This window comes from Homo sapiens, chromosome 9 (genome assembly GCF_000001405.40).
Source record: "Homo sapiens chromosome 9, GRCh38.p14 Primary Assembly".
Classification (NCBI taxonomy): domain Eukaryota; kingdom Metazoa; phylum Chordata; class Mammalia; order Primates; family Hominidae; genus Homo; species Homo sapiens.
This window is the reverse complement of record NC_000009.12, coordinates 14190356-14215254: the sequence shown is the minus strand read 5'-3', so window position 1 is coordinate 14215254 and position 24899 is coordinate 14190356. Positions and strand designations below refer to the sequence as shown.

General features: G+C 37.9%; 1 protein-coding gene and 1 pseudogene across 30 annotated transcripts in view, besides 1 other annotated feature; one reads left to right on the top strand and one right to left on the bottom strand.

Annotated features, from left to right (window-relative positions):
- Positions 1-24899, top strand: part of NFIB (nuclear factor I B) — a 450235-nt gene that overhangs the window by 316823 nt on the left and 108513 nt on the right. The window lies entirely within an intron of this gene.
- On the bottom strand, positions 10160-11037 carry RPL7AP47 (ribosomal protein L7a pseudogene 47; annotated as a pseudogene).
- Positions 10268-10767: an enhancer, noted in NCBI's record as "H3K27ac hESC enhancer chr9:14204487-14204986 (GRCh37/hg19 assembly coordinates)". NCBI's record gives its function as "activates a minimal SCP1, AML or CMV promoter by ChIP-STARR-seq in primed H9 embryonic stem cells {active_cell/tissue: H9 hESC(primed)}" and the evidence as "EXISTENCE:reporter gene assay evidence [ECO:0000049][PMID:30033119]".

Here is a 24899-nt window from a genome sequence, read left to right as displayed (position 1 = left end):
CTTCGGTTCCAATATGCTGGACAGTCTATGAGAAACTGATGTGAAAGTTGATGTCTTTGGAGATTACGTAAAAGCTGCTTTAGCCATTATTTTTCCATTTCTTGCTCTGCTAAGCACCCAATTGTTGAGCTTGACAGAAGATCATTTTACTGAGCTATTTACTTTGAAAAATTATAAGTAATATACTTACAGAAAATAATTAAATACTATATACAGGTAAAAGTGAAAAGTAAATCTCTTCCTTCTCCTTGTTTCTCCTTTGGCCGTTGCTCCCAAGCCTAAATTTCTTGTTTCCACATTTTCTTAATGGGCATGGAAGCATAGGTATGCATGTGTATACACGTACTTTATGAAGTCAGATCTCTTTAAATTCCAATTGTATAGGATGGCTCTCTGCACTGTGTGTGCCTCCTTCCTGTGTGTACTGGACTGTGGGATAAACAGCTCTCAGCAGGATATTCATATTCAGTAAAATAAATGATGAATTTCCAATGGAAAAGAGAGTCAGGACCAAGAAAATAGAAACAGAGACTGAAAATATGGGAAACAGTACAAATTTATAGACCATGAAGTTCAAAAATGTTGGCTGCTAAATTAGCATCATGTGTTTAAAAAGTTTCCTGGTAGTTATGTAAAAAGCATGATACAATCCATAATATGATTTTGTTTTACTCTGAAGGAAGGAAGTATGGCAGTTTCTTAGAGGAAAGCGTGACTTTTCTGTTAGGCTGCTGGGAGCTGTGCTGCTGAGATAGTGTGGGTGAAAATGGGATGTGGTAATGTGTGCTTGCTGAGGAGCTGAGATGTATCCAGTTCCATAATTTGCCTTCAGGACCAGCTCCCTAATGTGTGGGCCTCTTGTTCAAAAATTAAGAGTTTCAAGATGGTGACAGAAGAGCATGAAGCCAAGCATGGGGACCACGTAAGTGGGGCTCTATGTGACTGCATGGGTCCATGCTCCTGACACTGGCCCTGTGTGCTTTGAGATCCTTGAGCATGCTCAGGACCTGTGAGGAGAAGAGCAGGCTGGTGGGGAAGGGGAAGTTGGTGCCTCATTCAGGGATGTGCTCAGAGAAGTGCAGGTTCTCTCTTTGGGCTTTCCTTATCTCTGTCGCTTCTTCAGGAAGGGGAATTAATGGGGGGCTAGGATGTGGCCTATTTGGGGAGCAGAGTGGGGAGTAATAAAGAAGGGTTGAGGAGGGCTCTGCTAGAAATATTGGAAACGAGACCTGATGCATAGCCCGAAGGTGGCATCGATTCTTAAGTAAAATGATGTGAGGTGAAATGAGGGGACTCTTCCCCCCTTAAATTTGGAGCAGTGGGAGTTGGGGGTATGTTTACAAACCACTTCTGGAATGTTGAGAACAGAGGCAAGGAAGCATGTGATAACAGTTCCTTACAGTTTTAGGACACAGGGAACACATTTTCCTAAGAGCACAGATGAGGGACATAAAACTCAGCCCAGCAGCTTGGGGTATCAGGAAAGGCCCAGAAAGAGATCCTGAGCAATGCATCTGGGTGGAGACCTGGGTGTCCACATACTGTTATTCATTTAGCACTTTGGACTTTATGCTAAGGGCTATGGGGAAACCACTGAAGGCTTCTGGAGAGAAGCTACATCAGACTTTCATTTTCTGAAGTATTTCGGTTTCCCATGTTACTGTGTAGCAGTGGTTCCCAAAGTTTGGTCCCACGACCAGCAGCACTGGTCTGACCTGTGAGCTTCTGGGAAATGCAGATTCATGGGCCCTATCTGGACCTATTAAATCAGATCTCTGAGGATGGGCCAGAAACTCTGTTAGGACAAGCTCTCTGGGTGATTCTTGTGCATGTTAAAGCTTAAGAACCACTGCTGTGGAGAATGGATGGTGGACCTGACTTAGGAAGTGTTTATTACAGATCCCTTATGTGACTAACAAGGAACCTGGGGGCCCGCGTTAACTTTCCAAAGATCAACCTGCTGGTGGATAGGTAACTTTCCAAAGATAAGTAACTTTCCAAAGATCAACCTACTGGTGGATGGTAATCAAGAAATACCAGTTACCTGACTGTGCCCAGTCTTTCTGCCATGGAAACTTCCCAGGCAGTGAGAAGATTATCATAGCATTTTAAAAAGAAAGGTGTAATTATATGCTATATTACCTTTCAGAAACAGCGCTTACAAAAATACGAATGGAAATAGGCAAATAATGTAGTGCATAAACATGATTGATGTATAATTTTTGATTTTATCACATTTTATATGTGATGCATATTGTGTTTGTGTGTCTCTGAGACTGGAATGGGGAAGCAGGAAGTAGCTGTTATCTTAACTTAAGCTAATTATTCTCTAAGCAGTGAATTTACTAGGGCTATGACCTTGGGTAAAACATTTAATCTCTGTGAGCCTCAATTTCCTTATCTATGAAATGGGGATAGTAATATCTACCTAACACAGTTGTTAGCGTAAGGTGGCTTATGTGAAAGTGTTTTGTAAGTTGTAAAGCATTTAAAGCATTATAAGTGTGAGCAGTATTTTTTTATCATATAACTTAAATCCAATCATCTAGCAAACATTTATTAATTATATTATGTGAAATATTGTAAGTGTAGAGTTTTAAACATGTTTTTTTTTTTTCCCAGAGGAATTATAACCTTTTGAGATGATTACCTAAATTATTCACACTATTACTCAGTGGTGAACCCATTCAAACAATATGGACAATTTTATTAGAAATTCCCAAATCTATATTTTGGATTGAATTTAACCTAGTTGTTAGTTGTTTTCTAACCTTGTTTTAATTTTTATTTTTAGTAGGGATACTTAAGCACATTGTGACATGGTGTACTGTACTTTAGTATGTTTAATGTTGCCCTTAAGGAGATCATTCAGTTTAATAATTAAATGAGTATATAATCATTTGTATAACCTTCCAGGAAAGCAACAAAAGTGCATGAGCAATTTCTAAGTAAAATTAAGTCAGTGAGTGGTTTATGTGACTCATCAACCTTAATGTGAATTGGAGTAGTTTTGCTTTCATCAATTGGAAATAAGTATTCTAATTATTTGTATGAGTCTTTTGGTTGCCCAGTTAAGCAGTTAGATGTTCCTTACAGCCGTAGGCTAGGCTTTCTCAGGGATTTATTAATTTATGCCTCTTTCATGTTAGAATGGTTCATTTTTAAGGAAAGTCCAGTTACCTTTAGAGATGACACTTATTTTATGATAAATGGCAACGTATTTGCATTAACACTAAGGCCATATTCCATTTCATATGGGCTAAATTGCAGCTACCAATAAAACCCAGTGGTACATTATTTTGATGTGGGTATTCTGGTCAGTGGAGAGATCATTCTTTAAACGCTTTAATCTTTTAAATGTCTATTCTTTCTAGAGGCTGAAGAGCTTTCTAAAGTGTATACCTCCTTTATTGAAAGTACAATATTCATGTCACAACTCAAATCACTTTTAATAACAATATGCTATACTGTTCAACTCTGATTTCCTTTTGGAGTCTACGAGAGGGCTGACGTGGAGGGGCCCACCAGCTGGGGAAGCACAGCTCAGACGGCCCCGCAGGGTGGATGGCACAGAATCTGATATAAACGGGTAAACTTCTGGCCATTGCCCTGGTCACCAACTCCTTTGACTTGTTTTGTCCCTGGCTCTGGATTCTGTCTTCTGGATTCAAATTGCAGTTTGTCCAGTTCCGTGCCTTGAGTAACTATACTAGTATTTTTTTAAGGTAGACAATGGGAGTGGTCAAAGCTTTTATCTATTCTCATTATTTTTCAGCACAGTGTCATTTTAAAGTGAGTAGAATTATTTTTTTAACTTTGTTTCTTAACCAGTGTAGACCCAATTTATGTATTCCCTATATCCTGTTTCTGTGCATTTCCTTGCTGTTTCTTACTATCGATCTAGGATAAAATGTATTTCTTTTAAGAAACTTCCCAGGTCCATTCATATCTGAATCCAGGATGTTTTTTGAGTGCAGTTTTTAAAATTGAATTCTAATTCCAGATTTTAAAAATAGCCCAGGTAATATTACTGTTAATCACACAGAAAAACTATTTTTGAATACAATATTGTAGAGGATTAAGCTAAGAGCACTGTTGTTTTGAAATGAAAAATTTTAATTTTACCGCAAGTTTTTCCAGGTTGCAGTGATACTTAACATTGTACAAATACATGTATGTAATTAATACTTTAAATTTTTAGGGAATGATTGTTGAGTATCTGGCTTTCAGTCCAAACAGAGACAAAAATGATCATGTATACAGAGAAGCAGAAATTCAGTACGGTTTCAACCTATTAATTAGACTTTCCTTTACTTTCCTATAATCAAAGGTGAGTAACTTCCCAGAAAATCCACAGTGTACAAGAGATGCGGCTATTTTGATACATATTAGCACTGACACAAATGAAATTTGAAATGGGAAGTTTTTTTAGGACTCAGTGATGAATGTTTACATTTGAAAGTTAAAAATTTTCTTTCTGTTTTTTTCCAGTAAAAATTCAAAACAAATTAAAACAGTGAATGATGTTTTCTATTGTACTTATAGTAATCATCTCTTCTGCTTGAAGTTTTATTATTTGGCCATATAAAGTGACAGATCATTGTAACCAATTTGTGGTTTTAACCATCAGAAGTAATTGACTAACGATGCTATTTATATTTGGTTAGGGATTAATGGAGGGGTGTGGGTGTGTGTTTGTGTGAGTGTGCACATGTGTGTATGTATACTTACATTTTAGCGTATTTTCTTCGTAAGTGAAGTGCCAAAAACAATTTGTAAAGCAATTCTGTTTTTTTTGGTGTTCTCAAACTCAAGGGTTTTAATCACTTTTTAAGTTCATTTTTCGTTATTTTTAAAGTTTTGAATTATTTTTTGCAAAAATCTTAAAGTAAAAAAGAACTTTTATCTCTAGAGTGGAACAGATGAAAAGGGTAGAGATCTTAACCACAAAAAATGTTTTAAATACCCTCTACATTTACTACTTTACACGTACAACTTGGATGCCTCTCTATATATTTAGTTTCATTCAAGTTTTCCAGTTTTCATTCTAAAAAGGAAGCAAAATACAGAATCCTTTTTCCAAAGGAAAATGTTTGTAGTGTCATGAAAAATGAGAACAGATGGCATTGTAAAGCTTTGGGGAGATGTGTAGCGCTTCAATTCAAATTGTTAGGCAAAGTCGGAGACAAATACATAGCTACCAATTGTTGTAGTTATTTATATGACTTAATTCAAGTATGTAAAACAAAAACGTAGAAAGGATAGAATTTTGCTTCTTGTATTAAATAAAAAGCATTTTTGTAATTTATGATCCAGCCCTCACCAAGTGAATGCCTAAGCAACCAGGTTTTTTTTAGGAAAAAAAAAAATAATCAGGAAAAGCAGTTCTAGTCATTTAAAATGTATCCTGTACTTTTGGGTTTCACAGTGGGCAAGTTTACCCAGAGGCAGTGTGACAGCCTATTAGCAAAATAAATAGATCTTCCAAACTTGTAGTCCTCTGCTCTTTTCCCTCCACTTTTAAGTAAATTAGCTTTTCAGTGCGTCTGGGCTTGGGTTGTGGTAGGATGCATTAACTTCTCCCCACACTGTTCTGATTGCGCAGCAAAGCGTCCATTACCAATACCATATCCAAAGTGACGTTTCCATACAGGCTGCCTGCTGTTTCATTCATAACCACAAAACAAACTGAAATGACTTTACTTCTTTTTACAACTTGCAAAGAGTTAATGGACTGTGCTGGCCCCCTGCCAAAACCTTTAAGAAACTTTATTAATGTGTTATGAGGCTGGGACACCATAGTGTGGGATTTTATTGGTTATTCATCTTAATGAATAAAAATATGTATGCACAATTAAAGCCACATTCTCTAGCAATTGCCTTCTAATAAATGTTGAGTCTTTGTCAGTGCCCGTCATTGCATTTGCTTATCGATTGTGATCCTTTTCCTTCCAAATCCTAAAGTTACCAGTAGTGCAATTACGTGAACTTTAAAGAAATACCAGCTTAGTATTGGAAACGAGCAATTATTCAGTGATGAAAAGAACATAAGCATGTCATAAAAATGAATTAAAAATATCTCCATGTCAGAAACAGTAGTTATAATCTGCAGCATTTTTCCCACTATATATGAAAAAGGCTGGGCTGTGATGTATTGATGATTCATAAGACAGAGGCAACATAATTTTGCTGTAGATCATGTAAGAAAGTGATAGTGGAAAAAAATAACTTGTTTACTCTGACATGCTACTTATCAGAAAACATTTCATTTTTGTGTACATTTTTGTTGTTCTTTCATCTCTGACTGTTTCTTCTTTTCCCTTATGGGTGGGGTGTTGCAAGGAAGAGATGAGGGCAGAAATAATATCATATTGGAAACTAAACTTAAAAAAAAGACTGAGTGAATCAGTGGGTCTAGATGAATTTAATACTGGAGTTGTTTGAGAAAAGATGAATATTTTTGCATTTTTTTGAATATATGCTTTGTCCTCTGAATAGAATACTGTATATCTTCAAAACATTGTTGAATGGTCCTCAGTTTATGAGAATAATCCCAAGTACCTAAAATGAGGGAAACTTCCAGGATGTTTTTTGGCAAAATGATTTTCATATTATGGTCATTGGAATAGGATAATTTTATACCACTCTATCAAAAGTACTTGTGAAGAGTCCTTAAGGAAAAAAAAAAAAAAGCTCTTTTAAGTAAAAATACCAGGAAAATGAACACATTACAACTTCAAAGTAGTAAAATAAAAACTTAAGTCACGTCTGTTTTTATGAATTTAGTCGTAATTCATACTCACATTTGAGACATAAAGTAATTTCTTGTTTTGCCACAAGTAGACGTGAGAATAATTCAGTTCTTCTTGAATTAGCAAATTTGGAATGAGGTGTAATTTTTTTCTTTTTTAGTACAATTTAACCTTGATGTCGGAAGGATTGCCAATTGAAAGAAAAAAAATCTAAACTGCCACTACACTGAACACGTATCGATTTACTCTCTTAGTCTTTTTTTTAACACCACGTATTGCTTTGTTGTATAGATGAATTAGAACCTGTCTGGAGTTTAAAAAAATGGCCTACCCTGAGGTCATTAAAATCAGATTACAAATATGGAATAAAAGTGGAAAGATGATTCTAAAATGACTTTTGGGGTATAAAACTATTTAGGGAGTGGGAAGTGACCTTTGAATTTAGATTTTGAACATTGTGTGCAGCTTGTCATCTTTTCAAGTCATCATGCTGAGGCATTTGGCCTTGTGAATCTGATGGTGCTGTGCTCTGTATGGGAACCCACCACCTAAATTCAACCAAGGAAATGTTTGACCTTGGGCTCTTTCCTTGAGTCTCATTTAGCCCTGTGTGAGAAAGTGGTGAACATTGTGTTGGTGGATCTGTCTTTCAGGTGGCAATGGAAACGGGCTCTTCTCTGTGGTCATGTTGTCTCTGTAGATAAACCATCAGACCTTGAACTCTGGTTAAGTACAGCCAAGACCGTAGTAACATTCATGTGAAAAATGACACGTGGGAGAAATTAGACTCTCATTTACGAGATGTGGCTTAGAGGGGGATTACTTGATCCTGTGGTGAAGCTTCAGGACTTTGGTGGGAGATGAAGAGGTTTGTGGGGAAGGAGGAAGGTAGTGGCTTTGAAAATGGTGTCTGGTGTCACATGCAGTCCCTGCACGGAGCTGCTCATGCCGAGCTGGCCCTTTGCCTGTCAGCAGCATGCACTGACTTAGTCCTCAATTTGTGGCATGCTATGGGCAAAAGGGGTTTTCTGGTCTCATCCTCCTCCCAGTTTGTACACATTACCAAACCACAACATAAACTCCCCACAGTCAGTGGCCTCCACTCAAGGGAGGCTTTTGCCAGGAAAATTGGGAAGGTATGTGTCAAAAATTAGAAAAAATTGACTAAGGAGCCCTGTAATTGCAGAGGTGCAACCTCTACCTGGACTGTATCTCTTTTTCTGTCCAGTGGTGACACCTCTAATTTGGGAAGACAGTAATTTAGTTTGGATTCTGGGGTCAGTTTGGCTTGGGTTTAATTCCTGGCTTTTTCAGTTATTAGTTGGATAGCCTTAGGCAAGTTTTCTCATCTGAAAATGGGAATAATAATAGCATCCCTTAGTGTTATCGCAAGGACGAAATCTATGGATACCGTAATATTGAGAACAGTATTGGACATGTAAACAAATACTCAATGACTGTTAGCCTTACTATTATTTTATTACTGTTCACCTAGAAGATATTTGCTGCTAAGAGGAGGATAAGCTAACATTGTAAGCACATACAATGTATGGAATAGTGGGGTTTTACACAGCTAATCACCATTTAGCCTCACTGGAATCCTTTCATTTGTAGGTGACAATTTTATATGCGTTGCACTGTCTTGTGCAGTCAGTAAGACATAGAGCATGATCTCCAAAAACTTGTATTCTAGTTGGGGATATAAAATATAGCTACTTGGCAATATATACCAAACATGACTGAAACTAAGACACAGGCAAAATCTGAAACCATCCCTTAGGTTTTTTTTTTTTTTTTTTTTTTTTTTGTAAAGCATGTTGTCTGAATCTCATAACTCTGTATATGATAGCATAGGGTCTCTTTGCAGGTACTAGATGGTCAATCAACATTTATCGAATTCTTCTGTTTGTTGAGCAGATTGTTGTTTTAGTATTTGGAAACTCTCAAGGAAGAAAAGGTAATAAGTCAGCAGTGTCAGACCATAAAATCTCATGAAAGGAAAGAAATTAGCTCAAGTTTTAAGAGTGTTAGTAAGGGCCAGGTGCTTGGCTCACACCTGTAATCCCAGCAGTTTGCGAGGCCGAGGCAGGAAGATTGCTTGAGCTCAGGAGTTTGAGACCAGCCTGGGCAGCATGGTGAAACCCTGTCTCTACCAAAAATACAAAAAAATTAGCCAGGTGCATCTGTGGTCCTAGATACTCAAGAGGCCGAGGTGGGAGGATTGTTTGAACCTTGGGAGGCGGAGGTTGCGAGTGAGCCGAGATCATACCACTGCACCTGAGTGGCAGAGTGAGATTCCATCTCAAAGAAGAAAAAAAAAAAAAAGAGAGAGAGAGTTAGTAAGTTACTAGTGAACTAGAAATATTTTTTGAACACAACCACTCTGTTTCACCTGTCTGTTAAGAGTGGCCCATTATTAAATAGCTGTGTGACTGATTATTTTGATAACTAATTAAACAAAGGATAAAAGTCCCTAAATGTCTTTTACGCAGAAACATAATTAATAATGCTGAGAAATTATTCTGCTGTAAAAAGGTCCAGGAAAAGTGTGTGTGTGTGTGTGTGTGTGTGTTTTTCAGGTGACTACTGGAGAATAGACATTATTCAAAATATACGATTAAAGAGACATTAGATTTTCTTCTCCTAAAATGGAGACTTAAAAAAATTAAGTAAACAATATTGGTGTGGCTCTGCTGAGTGTGTGGACATATAATTCAAGCTAGAATGGGCATTCAGTGAATAAGCACTATGATGAATACCACCAGTTTGTGTCAGCATTATGGAATTCATCTTTCACCTCTGAATTATCTTTCAGCAGAGGCAAGAATGTTGGATTCAGTTGAAGCTTAGATTACCAAACAGTAATCACTGCCAATGATGATTACAGGAGTACACCAGGCCTAATGTGTCTCTCAACCTGAGCTTAAACTTGCGGAACAGTCTCAAAGAAAAATCCACTGACCTCATTATGCAGTATTTGGCTGCTGTGAACATAGCCTGTTAGCTGGGATTTAAGTTTAACAGAGAAAAAAAGGACAGAGACAATATATACCTTGTGTATATATCGTACTTATGAAGGTGTACTTATGAAGTATTTTTAATTCTTCAAGTGTTTTTTATATTCCTACTATGAACAAATCAGTATGTATTTTTAGTTCCATGCAGTGTCTCCATCATTTCCTCCCTCCCACGTTTTCATTCCCCTTCCTTTCTTCTTTCCCTCCCTCCCACCCTGCTTTCCCTCCCCCTTCCTTCCTCCCTTCTTTTTTCCCCCTCCCCTCCCCTCCCTTCCTTCCAATTTTTGTTCCTTTGGTCAGCCCTTGGAACTCACTCACAGAGACTATGTATCTGATCTCGGTTTTTTTCAGTTTTATGCCACAGACATAGTTAATTCCTCAGATGTTTTTTGAAGGGAAATTTGTATTATTTTTATGTACAGAAAACTCAACAGTGTACATTTAACCCAGTTTGGTGGCAAGTTCTTTAGCTTTTGCCTTTTGAGCTTGGCAATGTAAGCCACAGGCTTGGGACCCAGGACATTGCCTCCCCAGTGATGACGGATCTCATTGGCTCTGTCGTTGTAATTGGTTCTGATAGCTACCACCAGCTTAACCAAAGCCCCTTTGTCTTCTGAGTTAACCTGTATGAAGGCAGCAGTGGTGCAGGTCTTCCTGTGGATTAGATGTCCCAGTCTTGTCTTCCCCTTGATATTGCAGTAAGGGACCCCCATTTTACGACACAGGGCAGGCAGGAACACAACCAGCTCGATGGGATCCATGTTGTATGCAATCACCACCAACTGAGCTTTCTTATTCTACACCAAGGTGGTGATGGTGTTAACTCCTGCTTGAAGGACAGGTGTTCTTAGTGGGGAGGTCCCCTTTGCCGGCGCTTTCTTCTCCGCCCGGGCCAACAGCCTCTGCTTCTTCTCTTGCTTTGTCTCTGGTCTGTACTTGTGGGGCAGCTTAAGCAGCTGAGTAGCTGTTTGGTGGTCCAGGTCCTGGGTGAACTGGTTAATCGCAGGAGGCATTTTCAGTCGCTTATAGAGGATGACTCTCTGCCGCTGCAACCTGCTATAGCGGGGCCATTTCACAAAGCGGGCGAGGTCTCTTTTGGGCTGGATGTCCTGTCTAATGCCAAAATTCTTAGGCCTTTTCTCAAACAGGGGGTTGACCACTTTCTTGGCCTCCTGCTTCTTCAAGACAGCAGGGGCCGGAGCCACCTTCTTCCCCTTGGCCTTCTTTCCTTTCCACATCTTGGGCAGTGGACGGCGGGAAAAGAGAGATCATTCCTCAAATTTTGAGGCCTGTGCCATAGAAAGGTATGAAAAGGTTTTCTTTTGTTAATGTTATTTTAATGTTGTAAGACAAACATAGCCTGTTAAAGGATGAGAAGAAAACAAATTAATTTTTTGGTTTTCATTTTTCATACACGTATGCTTTGATAGAGATTATAAGTTTATGTCAAAATCATGCCATTGCAAATGGGAAAGTGTTGGCTTTGCTTATGCTTCTCTGTAGTATGTTTTAATATGGTCAGAATTTGTTGAGGTTTTTTTTAACATTTTTTTTTCCCCACAAATTAAATGAGTTTCTTTAATCAGCAGAAAATATTGCGGGCATTATGTGTGATTGAAATGTTGAGGTCAGCAGAATTTCGTAAAAGACCCCTTGTCACCATTTTCTATCTGGTAGTATTCCAATATTCCTTTGTAGTTAGTTTTTCAAGCAGCTTTAACTACTGCAACACAAAAGTTGTGGTACCAAGTCTTATTTATGAGGGAAATACACATTTTGACTTCCTGTGAGACAGACTTTAGACCCTGCCTTGGTAGCAGGGTTGGCCTTTGCCCTTGGTGAGGCGGGCCCAGGCCGGCGACATTTCAGGAGGCCGCTTGGCAGCCATTTTAGATCCTGCCCGCGCGGAGAGCTCCTGGCTGCCAAAAACTGCAGTCGCTCCGTGCCAAGACACTCTTGGCAGTGGAGATAAACTTTGTAGAGATACACAGTCCAGAAATATCTTATAATTACAAAGCACAGGGGGCAGAATGTTTTTACAATACAGCTGTGCTAATGTAAACATTTAATTTGGCAGCCTTCTCCACCCACTTTTCAATTAACCGGGTTTATGCAGATACTTTAGGTCTGTAATAAACTTTATTGCTAAGAGTACAGTTTATGAAACACAGATTTGAGGGGCTTTTTTGAGGGGTTTTCCATCCATTTAGGAAAGCACATTGTGAATGTTATGTTGCCGTGAATGGAAAGGGTAGCTTTCTGTCTCAAAAGATGCCATGGGCCTGGCTTAACTGAAACAATTGCTTTAGGAAAAAAAAAATGTGGGGGCTGTCTCCTTTGGCTTCTAAAGCATGCAAGAGGATATTAATAGAAGGAGGTAAAAATCACTTATATAGCTACAAAAAGACACTCGTGTTGATGATCATTCAAAAAGATAAATGTCCCCTGCAAGGCATGAGACTGTTTCAGAGATAAATTCCCAGTAACAGTTCTTACAGATGTAATTGTAATAATTGTGTGATCGCCATGATAATTATTCTTATGGAGTGAAAGAAATAATTTTCTATGTAAGTAGCATTCAACTGTTCAGCTCACAAAGCTAGTCAATAGATCGTTTTCAGCTAACCTAAAAAATGGTAGAGTTCATGGAGTTGTAAAGCTAAATTTGGTATTAATTGACATTGTGAAGGTGATTTTTTTCATAAGAAATATGACATCACAATCCATGATATCTCTTTGCATAGATTTGCTTACCCATTTCTCAGATACGTTAGAGAAAACCATATAAAATACTACACATATGGGTCGTTTTTCTAAAAGACAAGAAACGTAGAACCGATATTTTTATGTCATTCCATTTAGAAACTTTGCTTTGGTGATGATTTTTTTAAATTAGCTTTTGTTTTTTCTTGAGGATGGGTTTGAGTAGCAGAAAACCAATTCTTAACGATGTTTTCTCTCAGTACTCCTTTTGAGACTTTCATGTAGTGTGGCTCCATCAATATTCTATAATGGGATGTGACCACAAAGTAATTTTCATCCTAAAATAGTATTTGACTCTTCAGCTCCCGAACTAGTCAGTAGACCCCTTTCATCTATTCTGAAAGATAATGGAAGTCGGAGAATTTTAAAACTGTGGTCTCATTATTTTATAGTCTCATTATTTCATGCTGCAATAGCTGTTGTGCCATCATACCACCTTTACACATTCTGCTTATCACAGCTAAACAATGCTTTTGCAGTCTGTGGCTTTTAGTCTCTCATGTTTTAGTTGCTATAAACAAAAATTAAATGAAAAAGTTTGTCCCACTGCTAAATCTTTGTGTGTGTGTGTGTGTGTGTGTGTGTGTGTGTGTGAAAAGTATCAATTTTATCTTCAAAATATAATGATTACAGATTCTGCTTATTTGTAAATTGTATAGAGAGCACATTTTACCTGCTAGCAAGTGAATGAAAGTCAACATTGTGCAAATGAAACCATAAGCTCCATGAAGACAAGAACAAATCATCTTTTATTGACTGTTGTAGACTGAGTTCCAAGGATGATACATGGACCACTGTAGGTGTTCAGTCCTTTTCAAAAAAATAAACGAATGGATAAATATCATCTGTATATGTCACAATCAGAATATTGAATGTTAATTACCTGTATAAATTGATAGCTCATTATGACTTTTTTTTTTTAAGGTTACTTTGTCTTTCTTTTGGGAATTAATGCTCTTTGTCTCAGTTTCTTCATGGATAGTACATCCAAGATAAATTTGTATGCCATTTAAATAGATTCCCAAAATTATTCAGGGTAAGTTGGGATACAGGAGGTCACAATCTTGGAGAGAAGTAATGTATAAACAACCAACTATAATGCACTGGTCGGGCCCTGCACTAAAGTGTGAGCAAGACCATGTGGGCCCCAGAGGGTGGTCTCATTAGATGGGGCAATAAGGTTCAGGAAGGTTGTAACAGACGAAATTCAAGAGCTTTTAAAGATGAATTAGGCGTTTGTCTTGCATCAAATAAGGGATATTCCAGGCATAGAAACCTTATGAGCAAGGGCACAGACCTGCAGTTGCACGGCATATTCTAGGACTGTTAAGAAGAATATTAGGAAGTTGGGTGTGGGTGTGAGGGGGAGGGTAAAGGGTGATGGTTTCTGTGAGAGTGAGGCTAGGCTGGGGCCAGGTTATGGAGCACCTTGAATGCTGTACTAAGGAGGTTGTAGATTATCCTAGCTAGCAATTGGAAGCCACCAAGGTGTTTTAAGGAGTGAAGTGTTGTGATTCCTGGTGGCTATGCAGAGGATGGAGTCTGGTTATAGTGTGAAGAGTGAATCATAATGGCCTGAGGAGGCTGAGGCTATTGTGAGGTAAAAATGTGAAGCTCAATAAGGGACTTAGCACCAGTTGGGATGGAGATGGGGAAATAGGCTTGAAAGGAAGATAGAGTCTGGGCTGACAACTGAATGTGAAGCTTTGGGGAGTTGGGGTTTCTGGAATGAGCATTTTCAGCTTGGGAAACTGAATGGCTGTGAATGCCATTAATTGAGATATGGATTGGTTGCGGGGAGGCAAGAGTGTACAAAGGTTGTGCACTAGCAACATCAGGAGGAGTTTTGCAGTTAAAGAAGAGGTTAGGGCTAGATATGGAGATACAGAGTTCTCAAAAAACGGGTAGTATTTGTAAACATGGACCTAGCTGAGTTTGCTGAGGGGGAATGTACAAAGACAAGAAGATGGCCAAGTTGGATGGATCGTCTTTGGGATCACCAACATATAAGGGACCAACAGAAGAGAAGGAGATAGCCATCAAGACAGGAAAGCAGCCCTCAGAAATAGAGGATTGGACCTAAGAAAGGAGTGGTGCCCTAAAGGAAAAGGGAAGGAGAATTTCCAAAAGCTAGGGATACTTAGTGTGAAAAGTCAACTAAGTAGAGTCTGGGAAAGTCAAGTCGTGTTTTAAAAAAAATAGTAATTTTGGAGCTGAAACACATACTTAGACTTACCGATCCTGAGAGCTAGTGTTGGGCATGAGGATTATTATTTTCTTATCTCACATCGTGATCAGAGAGTATGTGAGTTTTGGTATTGTGTTTTATTCCTTGGTCTAACTTCACTGAAACAGATTCTGGGGTCCTGGGTTGCTTAAAGGATGAATATTCTGTAGACTTTAAGAAACTTCTGATGAAAACAGTGGATTATGTTTATTGTAATCTTTCTCTTCTACCAGTTCTGAGAGGAAATTTGCATTTTCTTCATCAAATTTCACCATTGACTACTATATTTTAAGGAGGAGAAGCTAATTTGAAATTTTGCTTTGAGTTTTGAAGAAGGCATGAACAGTTTCACAGAAAATAGAAGGAAATATGCCCAACTACTGAGCACACCCCTTTAAATTGCTCTTACCAGGCCTTCAGACCTAGGGGCAAAATTATGCTCCAGGCTCCAGGTCCCTGGATTCACTCTGTTAGCAGCAGCAGTAAGGAACAGTTTATTTGGACAATCCCTTCTGCTCCTGTTCTCCCTGCGTGATTCCCTATTTTAGCTGTAAAAGACTCAGAAAGTGGTGATTTTATGCTAGTACATACAGAAATACCTTAGCAAATATGATTGAGCCAACTAATGTGTAAGTAAAAACAATAGCTGAGTGGAAACTGGGTGCAACTCTGCAGTCTCCTTGGATATCTTCAGGAGTTTTGTGAAATTAAAAAAAAAATGGATCCTGGATCCTCCAATGAACTGAAGTCATAATCAGTCTGCAATGTTGACTTGAGAATTTCTTTTAAATAAAAATAAATGACCAAGTGGAAGTCTTATTAGCTAAAACCAAAAGCACAAACATACATGGCCCTTTCACAAAGTAAAACGGCTATAAGCATAATGAGACTCCAACACATCTTTACTTTTTTTGCTGTTTTGTTTTTAATTTTTCCAGCTCTTAACATTCTAAGATGCTGCCTTACCACTTCCTTAAGGAAACACAAATGGGTGAGTTAAGTTTTTGAAAGTAAAGGAGGATCCTGTTTAAGTAGATTAGGGTCTGGCAGGCCATTTAACTTTATCAGGCATCTAAAGCCGAGGATGTACACTGTAGCCGGCTGTGAGTTGCCAATTAGCTGGGCTTTCCCCACTGTTTCTGGTTTGGCAGGGATGAGGTGGTTCACCCTGCCGCACTACTGCCTGCCAAGGACACATGGCCAGCTCCCGGCTTCCTGTCTTCCTCTTTGTGTCCTGGCCTTGCCTTCCAGGGAGCTGCCAGAACACAATTGCCAAAAAATCTTCCTTCAGAAAGGTCAAGTAACCTCAAGTCACCTATGCCAATATTTGTGTTTTCTTTTTAATCCTTCTGTGTTCGACTTGGAAAAAGCTGTAGAAGCGAACTTGCAGAATGGAACCTGGGTCACTTTGGATCACTTGGATAAAGCAACAGAACCCAAAGAATCCCTTGGCCAGTCAGGGTGTGATGTTTTGAGTAGAATTCTATTTAAAGCTCTGTGAAGTGTGATAGAGTTCAGAATGGTTCAGTGTGGATTTGGATTTAGTTGCTTTTTAGGATTCACTGTACACATGTGATTTTTGGCCAAAGCTGGTGCATCACATGGCAGGGAGAGGGAGAAAAGTGGAGATTGGTTTTGGCTTAAGGACTGCATTTTTGTTTGTTTGTGTTTTCAGGACTCTATAGTCACATACTGCCTTTTGCTTTCCAGTTTGGTGTCTGTGAGCAAGCATCAGCAGCCAAGTCCCTTGTACACTGGCTGAGAACAATGTGCGGGAGTTACCTGGGGTGCTTGTTGAGAGCGCTTTCTTGGCCCCAGCATTGCTGTACGAGTCCCAGTCATTGCGGGTGAGGTCGAGGAATCTGAATTTCTAACAAGCATCTCAGGTGAATCTGATGCTCACTAGAATTTGTGGACTGAATGTCACTGATTGTGAAATGACAATAAGGCAAGTAGCATTTATTGTCATGATACGGCAAGCTGTTCTACTTCTCCTTTAATTGGTCTTTTTGGAGCTCTGTGTTTAATTGGAATCTAGATTATATGCAGATCTCCACTGACAACAAACACTTTTCTGAAAATTGAACTTTTAAAAACCTGTTAACATAAGAAACTTTATCCAAGTAATTGTTCCAGGTTTAAACTCTAAATTTTAGGATGATTTATAAGGCTTTTTTAATGACACGTAGAATGCCATAGTGAACATCCGAAACGACTTTAGAAGGCTCCCTCCCCGTAGCCCACACTGTGAATCATGCTCCTTGGAGACGTGCAGTGTGATGGGCCTAGTGATTTCTGTTATGGAAGGGAAACCCCATTTCTCTAATACTTCATAAAGCAAAGCTTTTATTATTTACTTTGAAAAAATTCCATTTGAGGAATATGGAATTCTTAAAGTGCCTAAACCTGAGCCACCTACTAATTCTTATGGCTGTTGGTAATGAATATAGGGGGCAACGTGTATTCTGTCTGTAGACTCCAGGAAAGTTCAACGTAGCCCCAACATTCCCTTTTGGCTTTTCATGTAAAATTGTCCATAGCACTTTCTTCCTAAGCTCAGTTTAATTTTCTTTTGTGCCTTTTGTACCTCGAGATATGCTGTCTTTCTTGGTGAGAATGGTCTAGCCGTGAACCTTTTCGTCATTGTTTTGTAGCATTCGTAGAGTGAGGACCAGATTAACTGTGTAATTTACCTTTTTTTTCCCCAAGTTATTTCCAAAATTTGCTAAAGCGCTGCAGCCTCAGGGACACCTCTGACTTTCTGACACAGCTAAGAAACACCACACTAATTTGGAACACATGTTCTGTCAAAGTTTACCTATAGCCTTGAGTTCCAAATTTGCAACTTCAGCATCTTCTGTTGAAAATAAACAGCATATTTTTTCTTAAGCTCCCTTTTTGCCTCCCCTTGAACTCCACAGTCTTTTATAAATAGTAATAAGGAAATGTGGTTATGGGTATAATTGCCACAAGGCAATTGTACCCTAGAGGACTGATAGAATTTTCTTTTCTATATCGGAGGGCTGGGCTCCATCAAGAAGATCCATTTGCAAATAACTCAATTGGAAGAATAACAACAGTGTCTTTATTTTTATAGCAACTTTCCCTATAGAGATCACAGTACAGTGTGTTAGGGACATCCTATCAGATTCATTGTTCTAATACCCCAGTGGACTGGAATAAAGTTTTATTATAGCTTGTTTGAGACAGGAGAGTGAGACTGAGAAAGGTTAAGGGTCGTCCCTCAGATCCTAAGAAAGTCAGAAGGGGAAATGCAATGAAAAATCAAGGTTTTTCTATTACTCTGCAAGTTGTCAAGCTCTGCATTCCTTTCTGGTAATTGTAAAGGGTCAGAATAAAGCACAACCTATTTCGGGATTGCAAAGTAATGTAGATGAAAATGCCTCGAAAATAGCTAAGGTATTCTTGCTATCTTTATCATATTTAGTACAAATGGAAGGTAAGAAAGAGCCTTATTGTCAGTATCTAATTGTACCAATGTATATGAAATGGATTTTGCACATTCTTGATTGATTGGATTCAAACTGCCAAGTTGTCTTAATCATTAATAAAAGACAAATGGAAAATAACATTTATAATTCTGGATTTAAAGGAATTCCATACGATTTGACAACAAATTTTGAACAGATTAAGAAGCCAAAGATCAAAGTTACTCTGATTACATAAACGGCCTAAGAAAACACTTAATTAAGTAGTCTGATTTTTCTTTTTAAGGTTTTACTTGTAGACTCCATAGTTCTGAGGGTAGGAGTGATGAACTTAGGCTCTGTTTTTTTTTTTTTTTTTAAGTTAGAATAAGAGAATTGGGAGTAAAATTACTACTAATCTTTCAACCTGATTTCAAGGAGCCTTGGAGGACACATTCTGTGGGGAGTAGACACAATTAACTTGATGCTCCTAATTACTGTTGTTTGATTTGTGATTAAAGGTGGTATATTTTGGTGTAGCGCTTTTGGCTTCTCAGGTGTCCAGTGTGCTGCTGCTGGGGAGAGTAGGGGGTGGCAGCATTCCCTCCCTTAAACAGGAACCCCCTTCCGCAAACTAGAAGCTGAGATATCAGAAATAACCCACATTTAGTCAGACCTTGCCTTCTAATGAGAAAAAGTGAAAAATTAGGCAAAACATAAACACACGGCTTTTTAAAGCTCTCTTTGATTTTCAAAGTTCTAGAGTGGGTTCATATTTTTTCACTTTAACCCAAGCGAGTGAAGCTATCTTTCACTTATAGATCCTCCCTGAGTGCCTCATGGGAGGAGTAATGGCCTTGAGACTTTTATCTCATCATCACTGCACCTCTTGTTATGTCTTGATGCTTAATGAATGTTAAGCTGAAAACTAATCCAGGTAAACAGGTGAACGGAAAATTAAGTTCAACCAGCGTGAACATAGAAAAAAAAAATCCTTCATTTAGGAGCACCATTAGCACTGCCAATGGACTAAGGAGACACATGCTGTTCCCTACCAGGTGATTGGATCATATCAGCTAATTTATTCTATTTTTAATAATTGCTGGATGATATTAATAGGGAACTTTCAGTTATTATTTTATTATTATGCATTTTCTTTTGCAAAAAAAAAAGTTTAAAAAACATTTTCTTAAATACCCCACCCCCTTTTTCCTCCCAATGCCCTTACTAGATTCCTTTGTCTATGTTTGCAATGTCATTGTGTTTTTCATGGTGTGACATACATACCCTTAATGCCATAAAAGATTCCTGCTCTGTGAAAAGAAAGTTGAACAGTGTTGTCACTTTGAAAACACAGTGATAGCTTTGAATGGGAGTCTAATGTGAGGAGGAAGCTTTGGCTTTGGGATCCAGATTGCTGTAGCCAAACTTCCAAATTCAGATTTGGTCTGCAATCCTGGCTTCACTGCAGTCATTTATATCGACAGTGAATAAAGAAACCTAAATAAACAAGAATGAAGTGGCAACACAATAAAAGTCGTCTCATATGTGCTTTATACTTTCAAATAAAAATTAGAATTTATCATTTTCTTTGAGATTATTTCTCTGTTTCGTGTGCTCACAAAATTAGCTTGATGTTTTAACCCATCTTTATTTCATTAAAGTATTCCTTAGATATGGAGTTTTCTAAAAAATACAATATTTTGTCAATAAGATGGAAAATGACAAGCATTATTTCCTAAAAGCACCACAGGAGAGAGAAGCATTGTGCATTTATTAGGTAGTGACAGAGCTTTGCAGATGGATGAAGGAAGCTGTAACATCAAACCTTGCCATCTCTGGCGGTTTAAATTCTCTGTAGGTCAGTTCTACCAAAAGTTTTTTGTTTTTTGTTTTTTTTTAACTTCTTTTGCCAGTTGATTGGTCCTATGAAGTAAATTAATGGTTTCAGTTCAATTCTTGGGCACATAACCACCCCAGTTAGCATTCTCTGGGGACCTTATTGGCTTAAGCAAGCCTAGAAGAATAGGATTTCCTTCCAGGGTCAGGTATAGAACATTGTGGAGAAGCTTACGGGATCTCTTTCTCTTTTGTGAAAGAGAGAGAGAGAGAGAATGTGTGCTGGATTGAGGTGGTAGAGTGCACCTCCAATATTAAAAAATAATTTCCTAATACGTTATCTCAGTGTTATTTTGTTCTATCTTCTGTGAAATTGGTAAGTGGATATTTTGTGTAAATTGGCTCCAAACAGACCTTCAAATACATTGAAGGTGGAGCTTAGTTCTTTGCTGTCATCCCATTTCTAAGATAGTGCCTGTTTCAACCTATTTCTCAGCCAAATTATATCATAATTTGCTATCTGCTTAGTATAATGTATCTCATTTGTTTTATCTTGGCTTTAATTGAATTATCTATTCCTATGGCATAATTCTTAAATCATAGCATATACATATACAGTACATTGGAAGAACTGGGATAATTTTTATTTCTTCTTATTGTCTTTTTTCTTTTTTGACTGTAACTTAGAATGAAAGTTTAAGTTTCAAATAGTATGTGTGTAATAAAAAATTTGGTTAAAAGTTGGATTCGTTTTCCTATCTGGCTTTAGGCTCCCTGTCCCACCCATTCTACCTGCCATTACGAGAAAAAGTCAAGGGCTATTTCTGTCTTGTGGTCTCAGCATTATTCCTATGGTTTTTAGTGTCTGTGCAATATGTCTGCTGTCATATTTATGGAGATTGTCTCTTAGCTTACCTGTCACACTATAAGTTTCTCATTGGGGAAAGTAAAGGGTGGTGGGAAAACATAAAAAGTGAAAGTTATTGCTAGACTTACTTCATGGCCACTTTATGTCTATTTAGACTCCAACCCATTTTCTTTTTTCAGTAAATATTTATTGAATTAAATTCATAAATGTGCATTAGAAGTTTGCCTTATGTGGCATAGATTGACTAAAATACATTTCAGGCACAGGCTTAAAAAATAATAAACATGTATTTTCAGTTGAAATGATCTCTGTATGATGTTTGGTGGTGACTGTCACCAACTAGGAAAATAATGTTTTAAAAAGAGACATAAAATAAATCTTGGGGGTGGGGGTTCAAAATGATTGAGAGAGAGGATGTAGAGGGACATTGCATAGGGTGCAATGCTGGCAGCTAAGTGTGCACATCCATCACCAGTGTCATCCTGTTAGTTCTATCCAAAAAAAGTTGGCAACATGTGAATTGATGCTGTATGTTTTTCCGTTATGTCACTTGCCTCTAGCCGGGCTGTTATCTAGCACAGTTTAAAACATTAAGTATATTGGTACTGTTTGCATATGTGATTCTAAAGTTTTGGTACTGTGAGTTCATATATATCCCTGTGCGTATGAACATAAATATTTTTGTTTTCTCCTGTTCGTAGAGTGTTTTAGCAAAACACTATAGAGTGTTACTATTCTGATGGGAAAAATACTTTTGTCTTATTTTGTAATTTTTCTTATGTAAAATGCCTCATGTCCAGTGGGGACTTATGAACCATTTCCTAAAGGAAACAGAGTAATGTTGAAGTCATTTCTCTTTCCTGTTAGGGATTATTCTTACGTTGATGTATAGTGGTGCATATTTAAGAAAACCTTTTGATTATCCCCATGAGACTGTTAGTTATTCCGACAATTGATAAGCATTTCGAAGTTGTTTGTGGCATGAAATATAAGTAAATGTATCATATTTTACAAAAATAATCAAACTTATAATTGTTCCAGTCAAGGAGCATACAGTCATGTGTGAAGGAAAAACACATGCACAAGAAAAAACTTGTTAAAAATTGGTTAGAGAGACTAGGAGATGATAAAAAGAAGAAGTAAACTTGGATGGATGGGTAGGATTATCAGAAGACCTCCTGGAAGAGATATATTTAGAACATGGCATTGAGCATCTAGTTGCCTTTTTTAAAAACTTGATTATTTTTATGTATCAGTATGCATTACAAAAAACTTTGGGATACAGAATTTTGTACTTAGTACTGAATGGTGGCAGTGCTTTCTCATCTTTTTTTTAAAAGATGAGAATCATAACAAACACGTGAAATCTATTGGTTTTTAAAAAAGTTATTATATTTGTCTAATACTGCTTAATTCTATTACCTGACACGTATTTTAGAGTGACAGATATGCCAAATTCAAAAAAACAAATGTATCTGTCAGATTTGAGTAAAATAAACTACCAGATAGTCCAATAGGAGGAATTTCATGGGCAAGGCCAGTTACAGTAATGTTAGAATAGATGAAAAGCTGAATGGGCAGTGAGGTCACCCAGTCATTAGCATCAGTAGGAATCTACTACACAAATTGAGCTGGAGCTGCCTGAAGGGAGGGCATCACAGAGGGAGGAACTTGTTCAGTGGAAGCAAGAATCACAAGAGGAAAACTCACCACTGTTTGGAGACAAATGTCAAAGCAGAGGAGGGAAGGAATACCTCTCCTTCTCCTTTCTTCCCACCCTCCAAATTCCCAAACTCCTACCATTGCCTCCTGTTGGTTGGACCTAGCCTGAAGTCAATAGTTAATGGAGCTGGGAAAGGTGGTTTGCAGAAACAGAGTTCAGGATGGATCTGAGGACAAGTTACCGTTACAGGGCAATTCTAATTTTGGGGGTGGGTGGAGGGATGAGATTTAGGTAAGATTCAAAGCAATTGTTTGGGGCAGGGGAATTAAGTTTGCATAATATCATCCAAAGCTTTATCACACCAGTTTTTCTTACTGGTGTTGAGTTACTAATTTTTTAAATCCTATCTGAAAATTTAGTTTATACATTTCTGTCATGGCCTTGCTGTTAGATGGTTTTGCAAAATATCCATGAACAATCTTGTTAGTTAATTTTAGAATTTTAACATGCTTTAAATGTCAAGAAGAATTTGATCTTGTCTGATTAGAAGCAATCTTTAAGACCAAAAACAACAGGTGACAGGCTCAAATTATTCCTATGGCAATTAACTCTGACAAAGAATTGGATGATCCCTCCTTCCCCTTTTCCATCTTTTGGAGGTACCAAGAGTGGACAAGGAAAAGTTCAACTGGTCTTGTAACCAAGCACTATCTAGAACTTGGAAATAATGATGTGATTTCTTGTTTTTGTGTATGTGTTTGTTGGAGGTTGAGTATGCAGCATAGTTTGTTTTTTGATTGGATTGGAAGGCAATGTCAGTTTTGAAATGGCAGCATAATAATCAATTTGGAAAATTAAACATTAGCCATATGTAATGGTACGTGCAATGAAAATAATCTTTATGAGCATGGGAGATGAGTCTGCAGTAAAAAGCTTGAAGTTGGTCTGTGTTAAAATTTTGTCACATCTGGAAGGCATTGATGTCTAAGATTACATAGGTTTGATATCATTCAGGGTTAAGGCATATGGATGGGACATTATGCAGAACCTTGATTTTTTCATACTCTTTGGATTTGGCTTAGGCATTTTTGAATCATAAGGAATTGATTTGAATCTCTATTAAAGATAAAATGAGTAACAAGACAAAATGGGAGGAATTTTGAGCACCTGGTACATAGCTCTGCACCAGTATACTCTCAGTTCCCTTTTTTAAAATGGATATAGCAAGTGAACATGCCCGTCATCATTTATTTTCCCATTTCCCAAATAACCATAGTGATGAGTAGTAGATTTCATGGTGGGCTTCTGTTATTCTTTATTATTCTTGGTTAGAATTATCTGTATTTTTTTTATTTTTGTTTATTTTTTTCAAGATAGGGGCTCACTCTGTCACCGAGGCTGGAGTGCAGTGATGTAATCTCAGCTCACTGCAGCCTCAACCTCCAGGGCTCAGATGATCCTCCCACCTTAGCCTCTCGAGTAGTTGGGACTATAGGCACCCACCGCTATGCCCAGCTAATTATTGTATTTTTAGTAGAGGTGGAGTTTCACCATGTTGGCCAGGCTGGTCTCGAACTCCTGACCTCAGGTGATCCTCCCACTTCAGCCTCCCAAGTAGCTGGGACTACAGGCACCCACCACTACGCCCAGCTAATTATTGTATTTTTAGTAGAGATGGAATTTCATTATGTTGGCCAGGCTGGTCTTGAACTCCTGACCTCAGGTTATCCACCCACCTCAGCCTCCCATAGTGTTGGGATTAAAGGCATATGCCACCGTGCCTGGCCAGGATTATCTGTATTTTAAACTGTTCTCTTTAAGTGACTGTTTGAAAGAATATTGCCCCATAAAATGCCCCATCTTCATGTCTCTGTGAGCTTGTAAACTTTTCAAAGTTCTTTCAAACCCATTATTTCACTTATTAGAATATTCTTGACCTTCTCTTTTTACAAAAAGGAAAATCATGTCAGCTATTTTTTTGTTTTTATTTTATCAGTATAATTGAGTTCCTTTCTTTGCCTGCACAGTTTTAATTTGCAAGAGGAAATTACTGTCTCCTCATTTGTTTCCTCATTTTATCCCTTTTCAAAAATGTTGGTTCAATGATGCATTATTCAAGTAGTTTTATTCCTGGTATATTAACTTTTGCCTTGAAAACATGGGGACAGAAGTTCTTTGAACCACTTATCAAGGAACTGTTAGGACATTTAATACTATTATCTGCCACATCAGCAAGCTTCCTGTTCATCAGATGACTTATCTGATTTTTTTCCTCTAATATTTTGATAAAGTTATTTTATGAACAGAAGCAGTAATGAATACCCCACGTACAAATCTACTTT